This window comes from Homo sapiens, chromosome 8, assembly GCF_000001405.40.
Source record: "Homo sapiens chromosome 8, GRCh38.p14 Primary Assembly".
Taxonomy (NCBI): Eukaryota; Metazoa; Chordata; class Mammalia; order Primates; family Hominidae; genus Homo; species Homo sapiens.
This window is the reverse complement of record NC_000008.11, coordinates 140,367,116-140,392,434: the sequence shown is the minus strand read 5'-3', so window position 1 is coordinate 140,392,434 and position 25,319 is coordinate 140,367,116. Positions and strand designations below refer to the sequence as shown.

At 44.4% G+C, this 25,319-nt stretch overlaps 1 protein-coding gene across 17 annotated transcripts in view; it reads left to right on the top strand.

Annotated features, from left to right (window-relative positions):
- The window catches only part of TRAPPC9 (trafficking protein particle complex subunit 9), a 730,855-nt gene that overhangs the window by 66,145 nt on the left and 639,391 nt on the right, over positions 1-25,319 (top strand). For 16 of the 17 annotated variants that reach the window (NR_164662.1, XM_011517326.3, NM_031466.8 and 13 more), the window contains one exon: positions 21,255-21,471. Coding sequence is in view for 15 of the 17 variants with exons in the window: in XM_011517326.3 (XP_011515628.1) it covers positions 21,255-21,471 (217 nt within the window). In the remaining 2 variants the exon portion in view is untranslated. Of the gene's footprint in view, positions 1-21,254; positions 21,472-24,061; positions 24,418-25,319 lie in introns of those variants that run through there. The other variant, XM_017013894.3, reaches the window with a different exon arrangement.

The following is a 25,319-nucleotide window of genomic DNA, read 5'->3' as shown; positions in this document are numbered from 1 at the left end:
AATTTTCTAGTCAGGCCTGCTCTAGCAGTATTAATCCTGTAAAATAAGCTCTGTTGGCACACAAAAAAGATGAAAAGGCAGAACCTCTCCATTATCGGATAAGCTGAAACTCATTGATAATATGAGTGATTAAGCAGCCAGCTTGTTGCATGCATTTAGCTAGATGCTTTTCAGATATTGGCCATAATCATCACAACAACTTTGCAAAGTAGTTTATTACGCTCCATTTTAAGGATGAGAAATTGAGGAGAGGAGTTTGCCGTGTCTCCAGGATTGTCTTGTAGATACCACCATTGGTATTTAAACCATTTGGGTTCTAAAATCCAAGCTCTATGTACCACATCAGGTAGTTTCCCTCAAACTACCCAAATGATTGAAATTCACTTTCTTAATTCTTTTTTTTTTTTTGAGACGGAGTTTCACTCTTGTAGCCCAGGTTGGAGTGCAGTGGCGCGATCTCAGCTCACTGCAACTTCTGCCTCTTGGGTTCAAGCAATTCTCCTGCCTCACCCTCCCGAGTAGCTGGGATTACAGGTGCCCGCACCACACCCGGCTAATTTTTGTATTTTTGGTAGAGATGGGGTTTCACCATGTTGGCCAGGCTGGTCTCAAACTCCTGACCTCAGGTGATCCACCTGCCTTGGCCTCCCAAAGTGCTGGGATTACAGGCGTGAGCCACCATGCCCTGCTCACTTTCTTAATTCTTTTTTTTTTTTTTTTTTGAGACAGAGTTTCGCTGTTGTTGCCCAGGCTAGAGTGCAATGGCACGATCTCGGCTCACCACAACCTCTGCCTCCTGGGTTCAAGCGATTCTCCTGCCTCAGCCTCCTGAGTAGCTGAGATTACAGGCATGTGCCACCACACCCGGCTAATTTTGTATTTTTAGTGGGGACAGGGTTTCTCCATGTTGGTCAGGCTGGTCTCGAACTCCCGACCTTAGGTGATCCACCTGCCTTGGCCTTCCAAAGTGCTGGGATTACAGGCGTGAGCCACTGCACCCGGCTCACTTTCTTAACTCTTAATTAGTCAAAAATGGCAAGTGACAGTAAGAGAAAGTGGTAGTAAGGAATTGTTTGAAAAACTAGAAAATAATCTGACTTTACCAGATTAGAGAACATACTCTAGGATCAACTCTCATTGAATCCAACACCCTTTGCCTCCCACAAACCAAATATTCAGGAATGATTCCGAGCCATTTGAAAACATTTTGGCTTATGATACTGCTGACTAAGACCTGCCACCTCTTTGTTCCTGGTTAATTTTCTCTTCAAAACCATTCAAATTTTATGCAGGCTACTCTGTTCAGATGTAAGAATAGCCTCTTTAAAATTTTTGATGCAGTTCCTTAATGAAGCTGTTGCTAAGGAAACCCAGGAAAAGCCTGCTAGATATGCACATAATAATTGCAACCTCAAACTTTATGTCAATTTAAGCTGAAAATCAGAGGCACGGGGAGATTTGGGAAAGGCTTTTTAAGATAGAAGGGGGAAAGTAGTAGGAATGCAGCTTAGCTATGGCTGAAACAGTTCAGTCCAGCCAGCAGGGTGCGTGGCTTTCAGAGATTGTTTGTGAGGATTTCATAGTTCTCACAAAGAAACTGTTGGATGGGGAAGGAGGAAAGTAAGTTCCTTATTAGAGATGTAAAAGGAGAGAGAGGGAACTGAGACATTTCTGCATGAACAAGAGTCTGGTATATTGCACCTTGTCTTTAGGAGAGAGTAAGAGGCATATAAGGAAATCTCTCTTGAGTGAGCAGTCAAAGCTGCAGAGATATGAGCAAGCCAGGTGGGCCTCTGATGCCCCGCTGGGCTGTGGATGATGGCAGCTGCCTGCAAAGCGGTGGGAATCTTTGACCCAGTCCTTAGGCTGGAGTTTCAGATCTCCATTTGAAGCCCAATAAAGTGAGGAAAGAGGGAGAGGACTAAAATAAAGGAAAAGCCAGAGCCTGGAGAATGAGCCCCATATCCGTGCTGTGGGTTGTTCTGTTTAACCCAGGAAGGCATTGAGAATGATGCTCCAGGATGAGAATGGTGCTTCACAGCTTCCTGCCTGGGGACATGCCTGCAGTTGGTGCAGATACTTATTTCGTGGGAGTTGATATTTATCTCTTTTTATTTATTTATTTATTTAGAGACAGGGTCTCACTTTCTTCCCTAGACTGGAGTGCAGTGGCCGGATCTCCTCTCACTGCAACCTCTGCCTCCCAGGCTTAAGCGATTCTCCTGCCTCAGCCTCACAAGTAGCTGGGGTTACTGGCACCCGCCACTACTGCCCGGCTAATTTTTGTATTTTTAGTACAGATGGGGTTTCATCATGTTGGCCAGGCTGGTCTTGAACTCCTGACTTCAAATGATCCACCTGCCTCGGCCTCCCAAAGTGCTGGGATTACAGGCATGAGCCACCACGCCTGGCCTTCATCTTTATCGTTTTGCTTTAGCTGTTAGGAGCCTTAGAGCTGAGTCTCTAGCTTACCCTTAATAATTACATCTACTTCATGGCAGACATTTTTGTGATTTAACCTTCCCCTGGTTTCCTTTAACTAGAATTCTCATTTTCTTTTTACACTGATTTTTATCTTTTTTTTTTTTTTTTGGTTATTGTTGTTAAATTGTATGTGTTTAAAAAATTGATTTTAGATCCTTTTTTACAATGAGGCAGAATGTAAATAAATGCATAAACGGAGCATATTACAGACACTTATTGCTTTTAGAAATTCTAAGCTCTTTACCTTAGGGGTTACCTTAGAGCTGAGCTGAATATTAAAGTGATACATTTTTAATAGGAAAGTTTGGTAATGCATGCAGATTCTAGACTGGGGACTGTATCTTATTCATTTTTTTAGCCACTGTGCTAAGCACAATACTTGTCATAGACCAGGCACTTTTTAATGTTTGTTGGATGCATGAAGTGGAGTCAGCTATGACTCATGTTCCATCCTGTGGCACTCGCCAGCATCAGCACCACTCGCCTGAGTGGCCGTGACGGCAGTGACCATTGGTGGGTGTGCACACCTGTGTCTGCACTTAATCCATAACCCCCCCTATGAGGGATTGCTTTTATTGTTTTATATTTGTAATGTATAATATACTTTATTTTTACCTGGAAAGACTTCAAACCTTCAGAAAAGCTGCAGGAGTAGTTCAATGAACACTTATATGCCCTTTACCTAAAAGGACAGTGCCAGGCACGGTGGCTCACGCCTGTAGTCCCAGCACTTTGGGAGGCTGAGGCAGGCAGATCACCTGAGGTCGGAAGTTTGAGACCAGCCTGACCAACATGTAGAAACCCCGTCTCTACTAAAAATACAAAATTAACCAGGCATAGTAGCGCATGCCTGTAATCCCAGCTACTTGGGAGGCTGAGGCAGGAGAATCGCTTGAACCTGGGAGGCGGAGGTTGCAGTGAGCTGAGATCGCGCCATTGCACTCCAGCCTGGGTGACAAGAGCAAAACTCCATCAAAAAAAAAAAAAAAAAAAAGACAGTGTTTGTCCTTCTGTGTCTAGATTACTCACTTAGCGTCATGTTTTCATGGTTCATCCATGTTGTAGCACGAATCAGTCCTTCATTCCTTTTTTTTTTTTTTTTTGATGGAGTCTCACTCTGCTGTTCAGGCTGGAGTGTGCAATGGCGCCATCTCTGCTCACTGCAACCTCCGCCTCCCAGGTTCAAGCAATTCTTCCACCTCAGCCTCCCAAGTAGCTGGGATTACAGGCATGCACCACCACGCCCAACTAATTTTTGTATTTTTTTTTGAGATGGAGTCTTGCTCTGTCACCCAGGTTGAGTGCAATGGTGTGATCTCAGCTCACCACAGCCTCTGCCTCCTGGGTTCAAGCGATTCTTCTGCCTCAGCCTCCTGAGTAGCTGGGATTACAGGCATGTGCCACCACGCCCGACTAATTTTGTATTTTTAATAGAGATGGGGTTTCTCCATGTTGGTCAGGCTGGTCTCAAACTCCCAACTTCAGGTGATCCGCCCGCCTTGGCCTCCCAAAGTGCTGGGATTACAGGTGTAAGCCACCGCACTCGGCCCCCTTCATTCCTTCTTTTTTTTTTTTTTTACTGTAAGTTCTAGGGTACATGTGCACAACGTGCAGGTTTGTTACGTATGTATACATGTGCCATGTTGGTGTGCTGCACCCATTAACTTGTCATTTACATTAGGTATGTCTCCTAATGCTATCCCTCCCACCTCCCCCCTCCCCACCCCACAACAGGCCCCGGTGTGTGATGTTCCCCTTCCTGTGTCCAAGTGTTCTCATTGTTCAGTTCCCACCTATGAGTGAGAACATGCGGTGTTTGTTTTTTTGTCCTTGCGATAGTTTGCTGAGAATGATGGTTTCCAGCTTCATCCATGTCCCTACAAAGGACATGAACTCATCCTTTTTTATGGCTGCATAGTATTCCATGGTGTACATGTGCTACATTTCTTAATCCAGTCTATCATTGTTGGACATTTGGGTTGGTTCCGAGTCTCTGCTGTTGTGAATAGTGCTGCAATAAACATACGTGTGCATTTGTCTTTATAGCAGCATGACTTATAATCCTTTCGGTATATACCCAGTAGTGGTATGGCTGGGTCAAATGGTATTTCTAGTTCTAGATCCCTGAGGAATCACCACACTGTCTTCCACAATGGTTGAACTAGTTTACAGTCCCACCAACAGTGTAAAAGTGTTCCTATTCTCCACGTCCTCTCCAGCACCTGTTGTTTCCTGACTTTTTAATGATCACCATTCTGAATGGTGTGAGATGGTATCTCATTGTGGTTTTGATTTGCATTTCTCTGATGGCCAGTGATGATGAGCATTTTTTCATGTGTCTGTTGGCTGCATAAATGTCTTCTTTTGAGAAGTGTCTGTTCATATCCTTCGCCCACTTGTTGATGGGGTTGTTTGTTTTTTTCTTGTAAATTTGTTTGAGTTCATTGTAGATTCTGGATATTAGCCCTTTGTCAGATGAGTAGATTGCAAAAATTTTCTCCTATTCTGTAGGTTGCCTGTTCACTCTGATGGTAGTTTCTTTTGCTGTGTAGAAGCTCTTCAGTTTAATTAGATCCCATTTGTCAATTTTGGCTTTTGTTGCCATTGCTTTTGGTATTTTAGACATGAAGTCCTTGCCCGTGCCTATGTCCTGAATGGTATTGCCTAGGTTTTCTTCTAGGGTTTTTATGGTTTTAACTTAACATTAAAGTTTAGTTAAAGACTTAGCTTAAAGTTTAGTTAAAAACATTAAAGACTTAACATTTAAGTCTTTAATCCATCTTGAATTAATTTTTGTATAAGGTGTAAGGAAAGGATCCAGTTTCAGCTTTCTAAATATGGCTGGCCAGTTTTCCCAGCACCATTTGTTAAATAGGGAATCCTTTCCCCATTTCTTGTTTTTGTCAGGTTTGTAAAAAATCAGATGGTTGTAGATGTGTGGTATTATTTCTGAGGGCTCTGTTCTGTTCCATTGGTCTATATCTCTGTTTTGGTACCAGTACCATGCTGTTTTGGTTACTGTAGCCTTGTAGTATAGTTTGAAGTCAGGTAGCGTGATGCCTCCAGCTTTGTTCTTTTGGCTTACGACTGACTTGGCAATGCAGGCTCTTTTTTGGTTCCATATGAACTTTAGAGTAGTTTTTTCCAATTCTGTGAAGAAAGTCATTGGTAGCTTGATGGGGATGGCATTGAATCTATAAATTACCTTGGGCAGTATGGCCATTTTCACGATATTGATTCTTCCTATCTGTGAACATGGAATGTTCTTCCATTTGTTTGTATCCTCTTTTATTTCCTTGAGCAGTGGTTTGTAGTTCTCCTTGAAGAGGTCCTTCACATCCCTTGTAAGTTGGATTCCTAGGTATTTTATTCTCTTTGAAGCAATTGTGAATGGGAGTTCACTCATGATTTGGCTCTCTGTTTGTCTGTTATTGGTGTATAGGAATGCTTGTGATTTTTGCACATTGATTTTCTATCCTGAGACTTTGCTGAAGTTGCTTATCAGCTTAAGGAGATTTTGGGCTGAGACAATGAGGTTTTCTAGATACACAATCATGTCATCTGCAAACAGGGACAATTTGACTTCCTCTTTTCCTAATTAAATACCCTTTATTTCTTTCTCCTGCCCGTTTGCCCTGGCCAGAACTTCCAACTATGTTGAATAGGAGTGGTGAGAGAAGGCATCCCTGTCTTGTGCCAGTTTTCAAAGGGAATGCTTCCAGTTTTTGCCCATTCAGTATGATGTTGGCTGTGGGTTTGTCATAAATAGCTCTTATTATTTTGAGATACATCCCATCAATACCTAATTTATTGAGAGTTCTTAGCATGAAGGGCTGTTGAATTTTGTCAAAGGCCTTTTCGGCATCTATTGAGATAATCAGGTAGTTTTTGTCTTTGGTTCTGTTTATATGCTGGATTACATTTATTGATTTGCATATATTGAACCAGCCTTGCATCCCAGGGATGAAGCCCACTTGATCATGGTGGCTAAGCTTTTTGATGTGCTGCTGGATTCGGTTTGCCAGTATTTTATTGAGGATTTTTGCATTGATGTTCATCAGGGATATTGGTCTAAAATTCTCTTTTTTTGTTGTGTCTCTGCCAGGCTATGGTATCAGGATGATGCTGGCCTCATAAAATGAGTTAGGGAGGATTCCCTCTTTTTCTATTGATTGGAATAGTTTCAGAAGGAATGGTACCAGCTCCTCCTTATACCTCTGGTAGAATTCGGCTGTGAATCCGTCTGGTCCTGGACTTTTTTTGGTTGGTAAGCTATTAATTATTGCTTCAATTTCAGCTCCTGTTATTGGTCTATTCAGAGATTCAACTTTTTACTGGTTTAGTCTTGGGAGGGTGTATGTGTCCAGGAATTTATCCATTTCTTCTAGATTTTCTAGTTTATTTGCATAGAGGTGTTTATAGTATTCTCTGATGGTAGTTTGTATTTCTGTGGGATTGGTGGTGATATCCCCTTTGTCATTTTTTATTTCGTCTATTTGATTCTTCTCTCTTTTCTTCTTATTAGTCTTGCTAGTGGTCTATCAATTTTGTTGATCTTTTCAAAAAACCAGCTCCTGGATTCATTGATTTTTAAAGGTTTTTTGTGTCTCTATCTCCTTCAGTTCTGCTCTGATCTTAGTTATTTCTTGCTTTCTGCTAGCTTTTGAATGTGTTTGCTCTTGCTTCTCTAGTTCTTTTAATTACGATGTTAGGGTGTCAATTTTAGATCTTTCCTGCTTTCTCTTGTGGACATTTAGTGCTATAAATTTCCCTCTACACACTGCTTTGAATGTGTCCCAGAGATTCTGGTATGTTGTGTCTTTGTTCTCATTGGTTTCAAAGAACATCTTTATTTCCGCCTTCATTTCGTTATGTACCCAGTAGTCATTCAGGAGCAGGTTGTTCAGTTTCCATGTAGTTGAGTGGTTTTGAGTGAGTTTCTTAATCCTGAGTTCTAGTTTGATTGCACTGTGGTCTGAGAGACAGTTTGTTATAATTTCTGTTCTTTTACCTTTGCTGAGGAGTGCTTTATTTCCAACCATGTGGTCAATTTTGGAATAAGTGCGATGTGGTGCTGAGAAGAATGTATATTCTGTTGATTTGGGGTGGAGAGTTCTGTAGATGTCTATTAGGTCTGCTTGGTGCAGAGCTGAGTTCAATTCCTGGTTATCCTTGTTAACTTTCTGTCTCGTTGATCTGTCTAATGTTGACAGTGGGGTGTTAAAGTCTCCCATTATTACTGTGTGGGAGTCTAAGTCTCTTTGTAGGTCTCTGAAGACTTGCTTTATGAATCTGGATGCTCCTGTATTGGGTGCATGTATATTTAGGATAGTTAGCTCTTCTTGTTGAATTGATACCTTTACCATTATGCCATTATGTAATGGCCTTCTTTGTCTCTTTTGATCTTTGTTGGTTTAAAGTCTGTTTTATCAGAGACTAGGATTGCAACCCCTGCCTTTTTTTGTTTTCCATTTCCTTGGTAGATCCTCCTCCATCCCTTTATTTTGAGCCTATGTGTGTCTCTGCATGTGAGATGGGTTTCCTGAATACAGCACACTGATGGGTCTTGACTCTTTATCCAATTTGCCAGTCTGTGTCTTTTAATTGGAGCATTTAGCCCATTTACATTTAAGGTTAATATTGTTATGTGGAATTTGATACTGTCATTATGATGTTAGCTGGTTATTTTGCTCGTTAATTGATGCAGTTTCTTCCTAGTCTCGGTGGTCTTTACAATTTGGCATGTTTTTGCAGTGACTGTTACTGGTTGTTCCTTTCCATGTTTAGTGCTTCCTTCAGGAGCTCTTGTAGGGCAGGCCTGGTGGTGACAAAATCTCAGCATTTGCTTGTCTGTAAAGGATTTTATTTCTCCTTCACTTATGAAGCTTAGTTTGGCTGGATATGAAATTCTGGGTTGAAACTTCTTTTCTTTAAGCATGTTGAATATTGGCCCCTACTCTCTTCTGGCTTGTAGAGTTTCTGCCGAGAGATCCGCTGTTAGTCTGATGGGTTTCCCTTTGAGGGTAACCCGACCTTTCTCTCTGGCTGCCCTTAACATTTTTTCCTTCATTTCAACTTTGGTGAATCTGACAATTATGTGTCTTGGAGTTGCTCTTCTTGAGGAGTATCTTTGTGGTGTTCTCTGTATTTCGTGAATTTGAATGTTGGCCTGCTTTGCTAGGTTGGGGAAGTTCTTGTGGATAATATCCTGCAGAGTGTTTTCCAACTTGGTTCCATTCTCCCTGTCACTTTCAGGTACACCAATCAAACGTTGATTTGGTCTGTTCACATAGTCCCGTATTTCTTGGAGGCTTTGTTCATTTCTTTTTATTCTTTTTTCTCTAAACTTCTCTTCTCCCTTCATTTCATTCATTTGATCTTCAATCACTGATACCCTTTCTTCCAGTTGATCGAATCGGCTACTGAAGCATGTGCATTCGTCACGTAGTTCTCGTGCCATCGTTTTCAGCTCCATCAGGTCATTTAAGGACTTTTCTACACTGGTTATTCTAGTTAGCCATTTGTCTAATCTTTTTTCAAGGTGTTTAAGTTCTTTGCAATGGGTTCGAACTTCCTCCTTTAGCTTGGAGAAGTTTGGTCATCTGAAGCCTTCTTCTCTCAACTCATCAAAGTCATTCTCTGTCTAGCTTTGCTCCGTTGCTGGTGAGGAGCTGTGTTCCTTTGGAGGAGGAGAGGTGCTCCGATTTTTAGAATTTTCAGTTTTTCTGCTCTGTTTTTTCCCCATCTTTGTGGTTTTTTCTACCTTTGGTCTTTGATGATGGTGATATACAGATGGGGTTTTGATGTGGATGTCCTTTCTGTTTGTTAGTTTTCCTTCTAACAGTCAGGACCCTCAGCTGCAGGTCTGTTGGAGTTTGCTGGAGGTCCACTCTAGACCCTGTTTGCCTGGGTATCAGCAGCGGAGGCTGCAGAACAGCTAATATTGCTGAACAGCAAATGTTGCTGCCTGATCGTTCCTCTGGAAGTTTCGTCTTAGAGGGCTACCCGGCCATGTGAGGTGTCAGTCTGTTCCTACTGGGGGGTGCCTCCCCCCAAGTTAGGCTACTTGGGGGTCAGGGACCCACTTGAGGAGGTAGTCTGTCCGTTCTCAGATCTCAAACTCCGTGCTGGGAGAACCACTACTCTCTTCAAAGCTATCAGACAGGGACATTTAAGTCTGCAGAGGTTTCTGCTGCCTTTTGTTTGGCTATGCCCTGTCCCCAGAGGTGGAGTCTACAGAGGCAGGCAGGCCTCCTTGAGCTGTGTTGGGCTCCACCCAGTTCAAGCTTCCCGGCCACTTTGTTTACCTACTGAAGCCTCAGCAATGGTGGGTGCCTCCCCCCAGCCTCACTGCCACCTTGCAGTTTGATCTCAGACTGCTGTGCTAGCAATGAGCGAGGCTCCGTGGGCGTGGGACCCTCCCAGCCGGGCGTGGGACCCTCCCAGCCATGCGCGGGATATAATCTCCTGGTGTGCCGTTTGCTAAGACCATTGGAAAAGCACAGTGTTAGGGTGGGAGTGACCCGATTTTCCAGGTGTCATCTGTCACAGCTTTGCTTGGCTAGGAAAGGGAATTCCCTGACCCTTTGCGCTTCCTGGGTGAGGCGATGCCTCATCCTGCTTCGGCCCATGCTCGATGCACTGCACCCACTGTCCTGCACCCACTGTCCAACAAGCCCCAGTGAAATGAACCCGGTACCTCAGTTGGAAATGCAGAAATCACTCATCTTCTGTGTCGCTCACGCTGGGAGCTGTAGACTGGAGCTGTTCCTATTCGGCCATCTTGGAACCGCCACTTCATTCCTTCTTATGGCCACTTAGTATCCGCTATATGGAGATACCATGTTTTATTTATCCATGCATTGGTTGATGGACTTTAGGTTGTTTCCACCCTTTGGGTATTAAGAATAATGCTGCAATGAACACTCATGTACATGTATTTTGTGGGAACAAAGTTTTGTGGGAATGTACAAGTGTTTGTGGGAACACATATTTTCAGTTCTCTTGGGTATATACTTAGCAGTGAAATTGCTGGGTTTAACTTTTTGAGGAACTGTGAAACTTTTCCAAAGCAGCTGCACCATTTTACATTTCTACCAGCAATGTCTGAAGGTTCCAGTTTCTCTATATCCTCATTAACACTTGTTATTGTCCATCTTTTGATGAGAGCCATTCTAGTGGGTGTGAAGTGATGTCTCATTTTGGTTTTGATTTACATTTCCCTCATGGCTGATGCTGTTGAGCATTTTTCCCATGTGCTTTTTTTTTTTTTTTTTTTTTTTTGAGACAGAGTCTCACTCTGTTGTCCAGGCTGGAGTGCAGTGGCACAATCTCGACTCACTGCAGCCTCCGCCTCCTGGGTTCAAGTGATTCTCCTGCCTCAGCCTCCTGAGTAGCTGGGACTACAGGCGCATGCCACCACACCCAGCTAATTTTTTTGCACTTTTAATAGAGATGGGGTTTCACCATGTTGGCCAAGATGGACTCGATCTCCTGACCTCATGATCCGCCCACCTTGGCCTCCCAAAGTGCTGGAATTACAGGCGCGAGCCACTGCGCCTGGTCCTCTTTGTCAAGTTTTAAATTGGGGTTTACTTTCTTTTTGTTATTTAGCTGTAAGAGTTCATTATATATTCTGGATACTAGTCCCTTACCAGATCCATGCTTTGCAGAATTTCTCTCCCATTTTGTTATTGTCATTTCACTTTCTTTCTTTTTCTTTTCTTCTTCTTTTTTTTTTTTTTTTGAGATGGAGTTTGGCTCTGTTGCCCAAGCTTGAGTGCAGTGGCACAGTCTCAGCTCACTGCAACCTCCGCCTCCCGGGTTCAAGCAATTCTCCTGCCTCAGCCTCCCAAGTAGCTGGGATTACAGGCATACACCACCACACATGGCTAATTTTTGTATTTTTAGTAAAGACAGGGTTTCATAATGTTGGCCAGGCTGGTATTGAACTCCTCGCCTCAAGTGATCCACCTGCCTCGGCCTCCCAGGTTGCTAAGATTACAGGCATGAACCACCATGCCCGGCCCATTTCACTTTCTTGATGGTGTCCTTGGCAGCACAAAAGTTTTTAATTTTGGTGAAGTCTAATTTATTTATTTTTTCTTCACGTGTTTTTGGTGTTATATATTTAAAAGATTGCTAACCCGAGGTCATTAAGATTTCTTGTTTTCTTTTAGGAACTTTATAGGGTTAGTTTTTGCATTTAGGTCTGTGACCCATTTTGAGTTAATTTTTGTTCATCATGTGAGTTAGGGGGTCCAATTTATTCTTTTTTTTTTTTTTTTTTTTTTTTTGAGACAGAGTCTCTCTTTGTCACCCAGGCTGGAGTACAGTGGCACGATCTTGGCTCACTGTAGCCCCCGCCTCCCGGGTTCAAGTGATTCTCCTGCCTCAGTCTCCTGAGTAGTTGGGATTACAGGCACCTGCCACAAGGCCTGGCTAATTTTTTCTATGTTTAGTAGAGACAGGGTTTCACTGTGTTGGCCAGGCTGGTCTTGAACTCCTGACCTCAGGCGATCCACCCACCCCGGCCTCCCAAAGCGCTGGGATTACAGCCGTGAGCCGCCATGCCAGGGCTAACTTTATTTGTTTGCATATGAATATCCAGTTGTCCAAGCAGCATTTGTTGTAAAGACAATTCTTTCCCCATTGGCACTCTTGTGGAAAATTAGTTGATCATAATTTTTTTTCTATTCCATTGATCTTATGTGGTACTTATGCCAGTACCACACTATCTTGGTTATTATAGCTTTGTAGTAAATTTTGAAGCTGGGAAGTGTGTCTCCTCCAACTTCGTTCTTTTTGAAGATGGTTCTGGCTATTCTGGGTTCCTTGTACTTCTATGTGAATTTTGGCATAAGCTTGTCAATTTCTCCAAATAAGTCAGCTGGGATTTTGATAGGGATCGCATTGAGTCTGTAGATCCATTGGAGGTGTTTTACCATCTTAGCAATATTGTCTTCCAATCCATGAACACGAGATACCTACAATAAAGAACCAGTAAATCTTCCTTTTTTCCAGGAAGGAGACAAATTTAGTTGGCAGGCAAAACTTAGAATTTAATTTTTTGTTTTAATTGATTATTTTTTATCTTGGCTGTTTCCTAATAAGAAAGGCATCTTACATTACTGTCATATTTAGATAAGGTGTTGTAGGAATCGGTAATTTCATCTGTAGGATAGGGGTTTTATTAAGCGTATAGATTGTCCTCTCATTTTTTGGCTTCATCCCTTTCTTAATTTTGTATGTCCCTTCAAGGCTTCAGTCTAGTTGCTGGCTTAATTTTTTTCTTTTTATGCAAATTTAATTGCAATAAATAATTCTTTTATAAGGCAAACAATATATGGGGACAAGTGATTTATCCTAGCATTTCTTTCCTGCATGTTTGCTTCACCTTAAATGTGTCATGTATACTGTGAAGATTTGGGGCTGATATTAATTCTCTTAGGGAAGGTGTAATGTGAGCCAGATGGCAGAATAGGACCTTTCCGCACTTGCCCACCTGAAGAAACACCAACCTGACAACCATCCACACACACACCTTCACAAGAGCCAGGAAACCAGGCAGGAGACCACAGCTACACCCACGGTCGCACATAAATAAGAAAAGGTGCATGGAAGAGGATGGGAAGGACAGCCTTGCACCAGCCTCCTCCGGCCCCAGGCAGCACAGCATGGAGGGAGATGACCTCCACTAGGGAAAGGAGAGCAACGTGAGTGCCAGGCCTGCCTCGGACACCAGCACCAGGCTGCCCTGGTAAAAACCAGCACCGGGCAGGCCCTGTGGCCCCAGTTACCAGGCTGGGCCATGGACTGAGCAATGTTTTTTAATGAAAAAAAAAAAAAGTCTGTTAATAGTTAAAAAGAAAGAAAAGAAAAATTTCAAATAATACTTAAGTTTGGAAAATACTTAGTGATTTTTGTTTTGACAATATAGTGGTCCAAAAACTCTCAGCACAAGTTCCTTAAAATTCTGATTAAGAGATAAAAATCCCCCCATCCCCATCCCCAACATCTTTCAAAATGCAAAGCTCATTGTTAAGAAAGGAAAAGGAAATCCTTTTCCCAAAAGCAGGAATTCTGAAAGTCAGTAGGCCTTGGAAGCCAGAGAATGCCCTGCCTAGCTGTGGTAACAGTTTTCAGTGCTCACATAGGAGGGATAGAAAATAAACCTTAGACCTGCCCAGACTTGGGAGTTGGATGGCAGACCCATGTGTAAAGCCAAGATCCCCTAAACGACACGTTTAGCAAAAGAATGAAATAGAAAATACCTCAGTCCTTAAAGTAAGAAAATAAGGAAACTTGATCTTGTTGGAAGGTGTATTAGTCAGGGTTCTCTAGAGGGACAGAACTGATAGGATATATACATATATAAAGGGGAGTTTATTAAGTATTAACTCACATGATTACAAGGTTCCACAATAGGCCGTCTGCAAGCTGAGGAGCAAGGAGAGCCAGTCCGAGTCTCAAAAATGAAGAACTTGGAGTCCAATGTTCTAGTTGGGGAAGCATCTAGCATGGGAGAAAGATGTAGGCTGGGAGGCTAGGCCAGCCTCGTCTTTTCATATTTTCTGCCTGCTTATATTCTTAGCTGCGCTGGCAGCAGATGAAGTGTGGGTCTGCCTCTCCCAGCCCACCGAGTCAAATGTTAATCTCCTTTGGCAGCACCCTCCCAGACACACCCAGGATCAATACTTTGCATCCTTCAGTCCCATCAAGTTGACGCTTAGTATTAAGCATTACAGAAGGAAACAAAACCAATCCAAAGAGGGTTTAGTTTAAAGTTGTCCTGGTATAAGAGTGACCACAAACTCCTGGCAGAAAAACATAAGTCCTTCTGGAGTGAGAAGCTACGTTCTGAATGAATCAGTGAACAGAAAACATGAAAAAGGTTCACGGAAGCTCTGGATTGAGATGTTAGACCCCAAATACACTGCCTTTGCCTCTCTCCCAAGGTCTCATTTAAGTATCCCAAAGTATTTTTTTTTTTTGAGACAGTCTTGCTCTGTCACTCATGCTGGAGTGCAGTGGCGTGATCGTGGCTCACTGCAACCTCTGCCCCCCGGGTTCAAGCGATTCACCTGCCTCAGCTTCCCAAGTAGCTGGGATTACAGGTGTGCACCACCGTGTCCATCTAATCTGACAACACATCATTAGTGTTTTGTAGTGTAGTGCGGAAGGCATTAGTCTATTTCGGACAGGCAGGAGAGGAGTTTAGGAAAGGAGTGATGGGGGGTGGGGGACGTTTTAGCTGTGTATGGTCTTGTTTAATTGGCTTTTAATTTCAGGCTGCATGAGTTGTCATTGGAGGGACTAGATTTTATGGAGAACAGACTTAAAGAAACTCAGAACTTGGCTGGGTGCAGTGGCTCATGCCTGTAATCCCAGCACTTTGGGAGGCTGAGGCGGATCACCTGAGGTCAGGAGTTTGAGACCAGCTTGGCCAACATGACGAAACCCTGTCTCTACTAAAAATACAAAAAGTAGCCGGGTGTGGCGTCGGGCACCTGTAATCACAGCTCCTGAGGAGGCTGAGGCGGGAGAATTGTTTGAACCTGGGAGGCAGAGGTTGCAGTAAGCCGAGATTACGCCACTGCGCTCCAGCCTGGGCCACAAGGGTGAAATTCTGTCTCAAAAAAAGAGAAGAAAAAAAAAAGAAACTGAGAACTCTGGTATGGAAAGATGAATGTGGAGAAAAGCTGTAGTCAGAGTTCAAATCATCTTTAAAGTACACATGAACTCGCTTGCTCACTAAACCCAAAGATGGTAAAATAGGCAGTATTTCTTGAAGCCAAAGGAGTGGGTTTTTCAGGTTATCCAAGAATGAATCAAAGGCTGGAACTGAGGTGATCAGGGGTCAAGCGCGGACTTTGCTTGGCCATCTCTTTTGGATGGTGCACTCAACAAGGGCACTGACTGTTTACAAAGTGTCCTTCCTCTAGCATGTGGTGGGTATACCTGGTAGTCTAGGAACCTTCCAGGTATCTGTCCAAGGCATAGGGCACAGCATCCCTGTTTCAGCCATCTCTCCATCCATCTTCTTCCCAACACTGTGATTTTTTTTTTTTTTTTTTTGAGATGGAGCCTCGCTCTTGTTGTGCTGAAGTGCAGTGGCGCGATCTCGGTTCACTGCTAACTTCCACCTCCCAGGTTCAAGTGATTCTCCTGCCTCAGCCTCCTGAGTAGCTGGGACTATAGGCACCCACCATCACGCCCGGCTAATTTTTATATTTTTAGTTGAGATGGGGTTTCACTATGTTGGCCAGGCTGGTCTCGAACTCCTGACCTCAGGTAATCTGCCTGCCTTAGCCTCCCAAAGTGCTGAGATTATCGGCATGAGCCACGTTGCCTGGCCTCAACACTGTGATTCTTTTTTTTTTTTTTTTTTTTTTTTTAGATGGAGTCTTGCTCTGTGCCCAGGCTAGAGTGCAGTGGCGCAATCCCGGCTCACTGCAAGTTCCGTCTCCCAAGTTCACGCCATTCTCCTGCCTCAGCCTCCCAAGTAGCTGGGACTACAGGTGCCTGCCACCACGCCTGGCTAATTTTTTGTATTTTTAGTAGAGACGGGGTTTCACTGTGTTGGCCAGGATGATCCTGATCTCCTGACCTTGTGATCTGCCCACCTCATCCTCCCAAAGTGCTAGGATTACAGGCGTGAGCCACCGCGCCCGGCCTCCAACACTGTGATTCTTTATGGACCTATCTCCTCTACTACTTCATGAAGTTTTGAGGGACCAGGTCTTATTGAAGTTTTTGTTTTGTTTTGCTTTGTTTTCATTCTTACTTTTGAATGATTAAAACTGAAAATGGATCCAATTACTTTAGACAGATGCTTTATAAAGGAAAATCCTTGGTGCATGCCTCATACCCCTACTCCGGGATATGAGAAAGTAGGTTATGTTTTTAACAAACTTTTTTGATAGACATATATGGAAAGTTTGTATAATTTTGAAGATGTATTTTCTCTCCATGTAATTATGGCTGGAAATAGCCGGAGAGAGGAGCAGAGTGTGTTTTCAAACCTGGGAATGTGTGGGGCCTGCTGTTTCCCATCCGGCATTCTCCCACGGTCATCATTTAGTTGAGTGCGGCCACCAGGCTGCCCCTACACATCTGTCACTGACTTGTTCTTCTGATCACTGCAAGTGCCCACGTTTGAGAAGGCTGATGAGGGTTAAGGCATTTTCTAGAGCATCAGTGGCTGGTTAACTTGGGGTTAGAACTTGTGGTGTCAAAGGCATTAACTAACAGTGATATTTCTGTTTCTTGAACACTCACTGAGAGTTTTAGGCTTATGCTCAGTGTTTGCATTATTTCATTGAGTCTTTTTGACAATCGTAATTAGATTTGATGATCCCTGTTTCTTAGGGATATGCAGATGTGGCCCTGGAACTCAGGACTTTACAGCTCCAGGCTGTATTCCTCCCTCTCCATCCTGCCAGAGACAAGTCCTGTGTCTGGAGTTTCCCTCTGATCTTGTCACTTTATTTCTTATTAACAGAATAAAGCAGGTCTAAACTTACTTTCTACTTGGAAATGGAATGGTGAGTTAATATTTGGATCCCTCAGAGTCTGCCTTGTGAATAAAGCTCCTTGTCTTGAGTAGTCTTGGAGCCACTTTCGTTGGAACCTCACATAAACATCTGGGCCCTGAACTTGGACTTCGTGACTGTGCAGCCTATTGAAAGATTAGAACAAAGATGTGCTGATTAATATGCCCTAAAAGAGCAGCAGGTTGGAAATGAGTTTGGGGATTTCATCTCATTTCAAGATTTCCTGAGGATCTTGGCCTAGCTTTGCCAGGGACCATTTTGTACTCCCCGGCTCCTTGTGCCATAGGTGCCTGTGTCGACCAAACATGGCTTTGTCCTGAGGCTCTCTGGGCTCATGGCTTCTCAGTCAATTGTCTGCCTAGTGCCCAAAAGCAGTTGCGCTCGAGCTTTTCCCATTAAGGAACCGTTTTAGGGCTTTAAAGTGATGTCAATTCCATTTGCAATGTAGTATTTATCATTTGACTTCTTATTACACTGAAATGATAAGAGGAATGAAGTAATATTATTACTGATCATAGTATTATTTACAACCTTTCATCTTAGATAGGTTCCATGAAAGAATCAATGGGAGTTCTAACGCATTGGTGGCCAAGGCATGTGACCTTCCCCGGCTGTCACCTTTATTTTAGATGGTGACCTCTTTACAGGCACTGGCTAAGATCAGTATTCGTCTTCTCTGCCCCCTTCTCTGCCCCAACATCTTTGATCATGTCTGGCACATAGTGGGTGCAGCTGAAGGTCTGGGCATTTCCAGATTTGTGATGAAGGCGTTAAGTACCCCCACCTCTTCTTTTTCTTTTTTTCTTTTCTTTTCTTTTTTTTTTTGACATGGAGTTTCACTCTTGTTGCCCAGGCTGGAGTGTAATGGCACAATCTTGGCTCACTGCAACCTCCGCCTCCTGGGTTCAAGCAATTCTTCTGCTTCAGCCTCTCAAGTAGCTGGGATTACAGGTATGCACCACCACGCCTGGCTAATTTTGTATTTTTTAGTAGAGACGGGGTTTCTCCATGTTGGTCAGGCTGGTCTCGAACTCCCAACCTCAGGTGATCTGCCTGCCTCGGCCTCCCAAAGTGCTGGGATTACAGGTGTGCGCCACTGCGCCCGGCCAACCCCTGCCTCCTCTTTACAGTCCTCTTCCACCCCGTCCCTGGCTGCTGTCCTCCAGCACTGGGGCTTCTGTTCGCTGCTGTACTGCACACTCCTGGAAAGGGACAGGCCATGTCCTACTCAAATTTGAATATTCACGGACCATAGACCTAGACAACAACTTCTAGATGAAAACATAGGATATCTTTGTGACCTCGGGCAAAGATTTTTCTCAGATGAGGACATAGAAGGCACTAACCATAGAAGAAAAAGCTGATAGATTGAGCTACATCACAGAGAAATGCTTTTGCTTATGAACACTCCCTTAGGGAAATAAATCGGCAACAGACCGGGAGGAAATATTTGCAAAACACATATAACTAAGGACTTGCATTCAGAATATATACAGAACTCGTACGACTCAGTAATAAAACAAACGATCTAATTTTAAAAACTGTCAGAAGATTTGAACAAGCGCTTCACAAAGGAAGATATACCAGTGGCCAGTGATCATATGAAAAAGGTTCAACATCATTAGTTTTCAGGGAAATGGAAGTTAAAGCCACCACAACGTCTAAAATAAAAAAGACTGATATCCTCATATGCTGGTGAGCAGGTGATATCCTCATATGCTGGTGAGCAGGTGATATCCTCATATGCTGGTGAGCAGGTGGAGCAACAGGGATTCTCACACATCGTCGGCGTCGGCATGACCTTTCACTGTAGGAAAAGTGGGGCTGGCAGAGATCCGATATGTAGGTAAATTGTGTGGGAGACACAGAGAAAGGACATTATGGAGTCCAGCATGGTTAGGAGAATTTAGGGAAAGAAGCAGCAGCTTCCCGCTGAAGGGCATGAGGACCAGCTTCTTGGAGAGGGTGGCATTGGAACCGAGTGTCCAAAGGGAGAGCCAGATGTGGCTGTGGAGGCATTGCAGGAGCAGAGAGCCTGTGTGCCCCGGCGGCGTCACCTAGTACAGCCTGCCTCATACGCTTCCACCCATGATTCTATGTCAAAGAGTATTTCATTGGACTTAGAGCAGCTATTTTGTTTATTTTTTCATTGATTTATTGTCATCCTCCCCACTGATTCTAAGCCAGGGGACTAGCCTGTCATTAGCATGGAGGCCCCCAGGGGTAGGAGTCTTAGCTTGTTTTGCTCACTGCTGTATCCTCTGCCACAAGAGTGGCTGGCACCAGAGTAGGGGTTCAGTAAATATGTGTTGACAGAATGAGAAAACAAATGAGTTAAAGTTGTTCAGTCTGGTGAGGTCATAGGTAGGCAGTGGGGCCTCGAATTTCCAGAGCAGGTTGGGGCTGAGGAGGGCCTGGCATGCCCGTGAAGGCATTTGGGCTCCATTTTACAGTCCTGAAGGGGTCTAGTGGTTTCAAGATGGGGATTGTCTTAGTCCGGTGAGGCTGCTGTCACAAAATGCCACAGACTGGGTGGCTGATAAACAATAGAAATGTATTGTGCACAGTTCTAGAGGCTAGAAGTCCATGATCCAGGTGCCAGCATGTTTGGTGTCTGGGGAGGGCCCACTTGCTTGTTCATAGACCGCCGTCTTTTCTCTGTGTTCTCACATGGTGCAACAGGTGAGCTAGCTCTTTAGGGTCTCTTCTTATAAGGGCACTAATTCCATTTGTGAGTGCTTCACCCCCTGACCCAATCACTTTTTAAAGTCCCCACCTCCTAATTCCATCACCTTGGGGGCTAGGCTTTCAACATGTGAATTTTGGGGAGGCACAAACATTCAAACCGTGGCTCGGGTGATGGGCTCTGAGCCATGTCTCAGGAACCTAAGTCTGGCAGGGGTGTGTGGACAGGTGAAGGAAGGTCGAGAGGTGGTAGGAAGACAATGCCGATTCCTCTTCCAGATGAGGGCTGACGAGGGCCCCATCGAGGCCATGGCAGTGAGCGCGGAGGAGAGGGGATGGAGGGAGGGTTTGGAGGCCCAAGTTGGAAGGGCGTTCAAGCTAAGGCTCTGTACTCACAGAAACATCAGGGAAACATTCATCGTCCAGGGCAGAGGAGGGAGAGAAGCGCTTCCTTAACAGTGCTCCTGGAGCAGCAGAGTGGGCTCTGCCTTCCTTCTTCTCTGAAGGCGCTGTGCAGTGGGCAGGGCCCAGGCCCAGAGTCAGGTCTTGTCCCTGATACTTCTTGGCTGTGTGATTTTGCACAGGTGATTAATGTGTCCCTGAGCTGTTAATGTCCTTATTTGCCAGCTCACAGGATGCTTGTATTGAGTAAATCAGGTACGTTAAGTCTGCTGCCATACAGTAGGTGCTGAAGAAACAGAAGTTGTTGGCTGGGCGTGGTGGCTCACACCTGTAATCCCAGCACTTTGGGAGACTGAGGCAGGCAGATCACCTGAGGTCAGGAGTTCGAGACCAGCCTGGTTAACATGGTGAAATCCCGTCTCTACTGAAAGTACAAAAATTAGCCAGCATGGGGGTGGGTGCTTGTAATCTCAGCTACACTGGAGGATGAGGCAGGAGAATCTCTTGAACCCGGGAGGTGGAGGTTGCAGTGAGCCAAGATCGTACCACTGCACTCCAGCCTGAGTGACAGAGTGAGACTCCGTCTCAAAAAAAAAAGAAAAGAAACAGAAGTTATGATTGCTACACTACAGGGTTGTTGGGAGGATTCAGTTGGGTCTTGGATGAAAGAAAACTTTTGTAAACCCTGAAGTCTTAAGTCTGATATCAGTGGTATTGTTAATAATTCATTACCCAGTTACATGATTCTGTGTCTTCTTGTGTTTTAAGAATTTTTGTGTTTGATGAGAGACCTTGATAAAATCCTGTTGTGTAGATGAACTCTTGTTCCTTTTCTTTTCTTTTGTGAAGGAACTTAAAGTAGAGGTCTCAGATTTGTAGCAGGTACCTTTGTAGCAGAGAATCTGGGCTTTATCAGCAGGAAGATGGGCTGCACCTGCAGCTGTGGCTGGGGAAGGTCTGAAGCCACCTGGGGCCTGCGCCATGCGCTGCTCACCAGGCTTTCCCTCTCCTTGATTCTCCTCGATTCTCCTCAGGTCTTTGTTTTATGAAGAGACATTTTTAATGTGTGCTTCTTTTTTCACTTATACGTTTCTTTCAAAAGCTTTTTACTTTCTCTCTGTGCTTCAGCTTTCTGAGGAAGAGAAAATTCAGCGCTACAGCATCCTCTCCGAGCTCTATGAGCTGATCGGCTTCCATCGCAAGTCTGCGTTCTTCAAGCGCGTGGCCGCCATGCAGTGCGTGGCCCCAAGCATCGCGGAGCCTGGGTGGAGGGCCTGCTACAAACTCCTCCTGGAAACGCTGCCCGGCTACAGTCTGTCGCTGGATCCCAAAGATTTCAGCAGAGGTACTGGAGTCCCCTTGCTGGCGCTAAGGTGTTGCTTTCTGTCTGATGGTCACATGCTGTTTCAGCCCCTGCCCTGAGTGGCAGACATCGTGGTTGGTGCTGGTGGCTCCAGAATGACTAGATCCCTGCCCTGGAGTTGGGTGCCTGCTGTAATCCGATTATAGGAAAAAGTACTGGTGCTTTGCCTTGGGGCTCGGATTCTTGAATCTTTATCAGTGGGAGTCAGAAATTGCCTTTGAGTTCATTGGCATGGTGTGTCATCATCAATCAAACAGTGGAAGTACCTAATGAATTTTACTCATGAGATTTAGTTAGTTTAGCACAAATCAATGAACCCAGAATAAATATCCTTGGGTATATGTGTATACCTGAGCTATGCATTCAGCAGTAAATTCTTATTCTGAAATATTAATGCAGGGTAATATGTATTAAAAATAAAGCTATCAATCTAATAACAAATATGTACAAGGATAATGCCCAGTATTAGACAAAGTCTGATTAGAAGGAGAAAAAACATTTTTGGGGGCCAGGCACGGTGGCTCACTCCTGTAATCCCCAGCACTTTGGGAGACCAGGGTGGGCGGATCACTTGAGGTCAGGAGTTCATGACCAGCCTGGCCAACATGGTGAAACACTGTCTCTACCAAAAAACAAAAATTAGCTGGGCATGGTGGCGTGCGCTTGTAGTCCCAGCTACTCAGGAGGCTGAGGCAAGAGAATTACTTGAACCTGGGAGGTGGAGGTTGCAGTGAGCTGGGATCGTGCTACTGCACTCCAGCCTGGGCGACAGAGAAAGACCTTATCTAAAAAAAACCCAAAAAAACAAAAAAAAAAACATTTTTGAGGGGTTACTTTTAGATAGGAAACATACACTTTTTCTTTAGTTCAAGCCTAGAGCTAGTGAAGGTATAGGCTTCTAGACAGGAAAGAACTGTGATGTCATCTAGGTTAATTTCCCACCAGGGCAAAAATGGGTTCTTCGGCATCCTTTTTATTTTTATTTTTTTTCCTGAGACAGAGTTTCACTCTTGTTGCCCAGGCTGGAGTGCAATGGCATGATCTTGGCTCACTGCAGCCTCCAACTCCTGGGTTCAAGTGATTCTCCTGCCTCAGCCTCCTGAGAAGCTGGGATTACAGGCACGTGCTACCACGCCCAGCTAATTTTTGTATTTTTAGTAGAGATGGGGTTTCACCATGTTGGCCAGGCTGGTCTCAAACTCCTGACCTCAGGTGATCCGCCCACTTTGGCCTCCCAAAGTGCTGGGATTACAGGCATGAGCCACCATGCCCGGCCTCTTCAGTATCTTTTTTATGTGGTCATGTCCATCCATTTCACTGGCCTCTGCTGACTGAAGGTGCTCATGGCTTTATGATGAATCCAAAAGTTCTGCTTTTGGATAATTCTGATAGTTAGGGCTCTCCCCAACGTTGAATTAAACATTATGTTTCTCCTTACTTTCACCTGCTAGAATATCTGAAGACATCTACTGGACTTTTTTGTACATTGATTCAACAGGTAGTTCGTTATACTCCTGCCCCCATGCCATGCAGTGTGTTGGGTGAGTGATGCGATGGCAAAGGAGACAGTTTCTGCCCTCTACAGTGGAAATAAACAGGTGCCTCTCACATGTGACAGCTTCCCGGTGTTTGCACAGAGCTCTCAGGTCCTTCCAGAGCCTGCTTCTAACTTACGTGTCTGTGGTTGCTGTGACAGTCACTCCTAAGTCACACTCCCCAGACTTCTTACTGTTCAACCATCTTCCCAGGCAACACTTACATTTGATAGAACCTCAAATCCGATTCTCAGGATGCATTCTGGTTAGCTTCGAGCAGGGGTCAGCAAATGTTCTCTGTAAAGGGCCAGATAGTAAATATTTTAGGCTTTATGAGCCACACGGTCTGTGCGGAAATGACTGGACCCTGCTGTTGTGGTGTGAAAGCAGCCATGGACGGCACGCACACCATGGAACTGTGTTTACATTAGTACATGGTGGCCAGATTTGGCATGGCAGCTATACTTTGCGAAATCCCTGGCTGAGAACACTGTGATATTTGAAATCATTTATTTATTTTTATTTTTTAGAGATGAGGTCTCGCTGTGTTGCCCAGGCTGGCCTCAAACTCTTGGGCTGAAGCGATCCTCCTGCCTCATTTAAAAGGAGGGCACTGGGTTTGGAAGAGAAAACGCAGACTGAGTGAGTAATATAGCAGGAGGAGAGTCAGGCGGGCAGTGAAGGGGAGTGAAGGGAGGCTGGGATGGAGTGTACGCAGCACTTTAGCCTCTTATTTCTCTTCAGGGAAGAGAACTAGACCTGGGGGGTGCTTTTGCAGTCTGGGGAGGGCACTTCTGCTCTGGACTGCTGTGGTCTGGCCAGAAGCTATGCCAGGAAGAGCTAAGGCCCTGCGTGAAGCAGATGTGTTCAGGGTTGAAAATCCCCCAAGTCCCATCAAGTTCCCCATATAAATCCCCAGTTTTTATGGGTTTTTGTCTTTAGAGCCTAAGATATCCTGCCTCTCTGGAGCCACAGGGGCAGGCGGAGCGCTGATGACCACTCTGGGCAAGTGATAAAAGCCTGTCATGCTGTCCACTCAGGTGAGATGGCTGAGATCTGGCAGGGAGTTTGGCACTTTGTGTGTTCACCCTCAACATGTGAATGGTGTCCAGCACAAAGCAAGAACCAAGACGTCCCTGCGGAATAGAAGGCCTGCTGGAGAGGGTCCTGAACTCTGCTCTTGACCTCTTGCACTCAGTATCATCACAACGGCTAAGACAAAAGCAAGGGATAAGATCCAGCTTCAAAATGAACTCCACCAACAGTATGAGTCCAGTCATCAGCACAGCCAGCACAGCCAGATGCCAAGTCCCACGTTTAAAGAAACCCCAAAAACCATGACGGGGTGCAGAATAGAGGAGACCTGGAGAGGTCATACACAAAGATGGATAAGGTGTGCTCTGAGACGAGGTTTATGATAGTTTTTCTTCACCTGCCCTTCCTTTCTCTAATTTCTTTTTCCTCGGTGTTCCCTGGAGGGATAGGATGGAACCTGTCTCCCCACCCCTTATTTCATGATTGACACCTTTAGATGGACCATGAGGATGTGTGAATTGAGGCTGATGACCCACTTACCTCCTGCCCTTGCAGACGCACAGACTTCCCCACTGTTAACACCCCATACCAGGGTGGTACATTTGTTGCAATTGATGAACCTATGTTGACACATCATCATCACCCAAAGTTCGTAGTTTACATTAGGGTTCACTCTTGGTGGTGTACATTCTGTGGGTTTTGACAAATGTGTAGTGATGAGTATCCACCATTATGATATCATACAGAGAAGTTTCCCTGCCGTGAAGATCCTTTGTGCTCTGTCTCCTCATCCCTCCCTCCCTATTTATTACCTTCTGGCAACCACTGACCCTTTTACTGTCTCCATAGTTTTGCCTTTCCAGAGTGTCATATAGTTGGAATCATACAATATGTAGCCTTTTCAAATTGGCTTCTTTCTCTTAGTAATATACATTTAAGTTTCCTTCATATCTTTTCTCAGCTTGATAGCTCATTACTTTATAGTGCTGAATAATATTCTACTATCAGAATATGTCACAGTTATTTATACATTCACCTAATGAATCTTGGTTGACAACTTGGTTGCCTGCAAGTTTTGGCAATTGTAAAGCAGCCATAAACATTCATGTGCAAGTTTTTGTGTGGATATAAGTTTTCAGCTCATTTGAGTAAATATCAAGGGGCATGGTTCCTGGATGATATGGTAAAAATATGTTTACTTTTGTAAGAACCCGCCAAACTGTCTTCCACAGTGGCTGAACCATTTTGCATCCCCTTCAG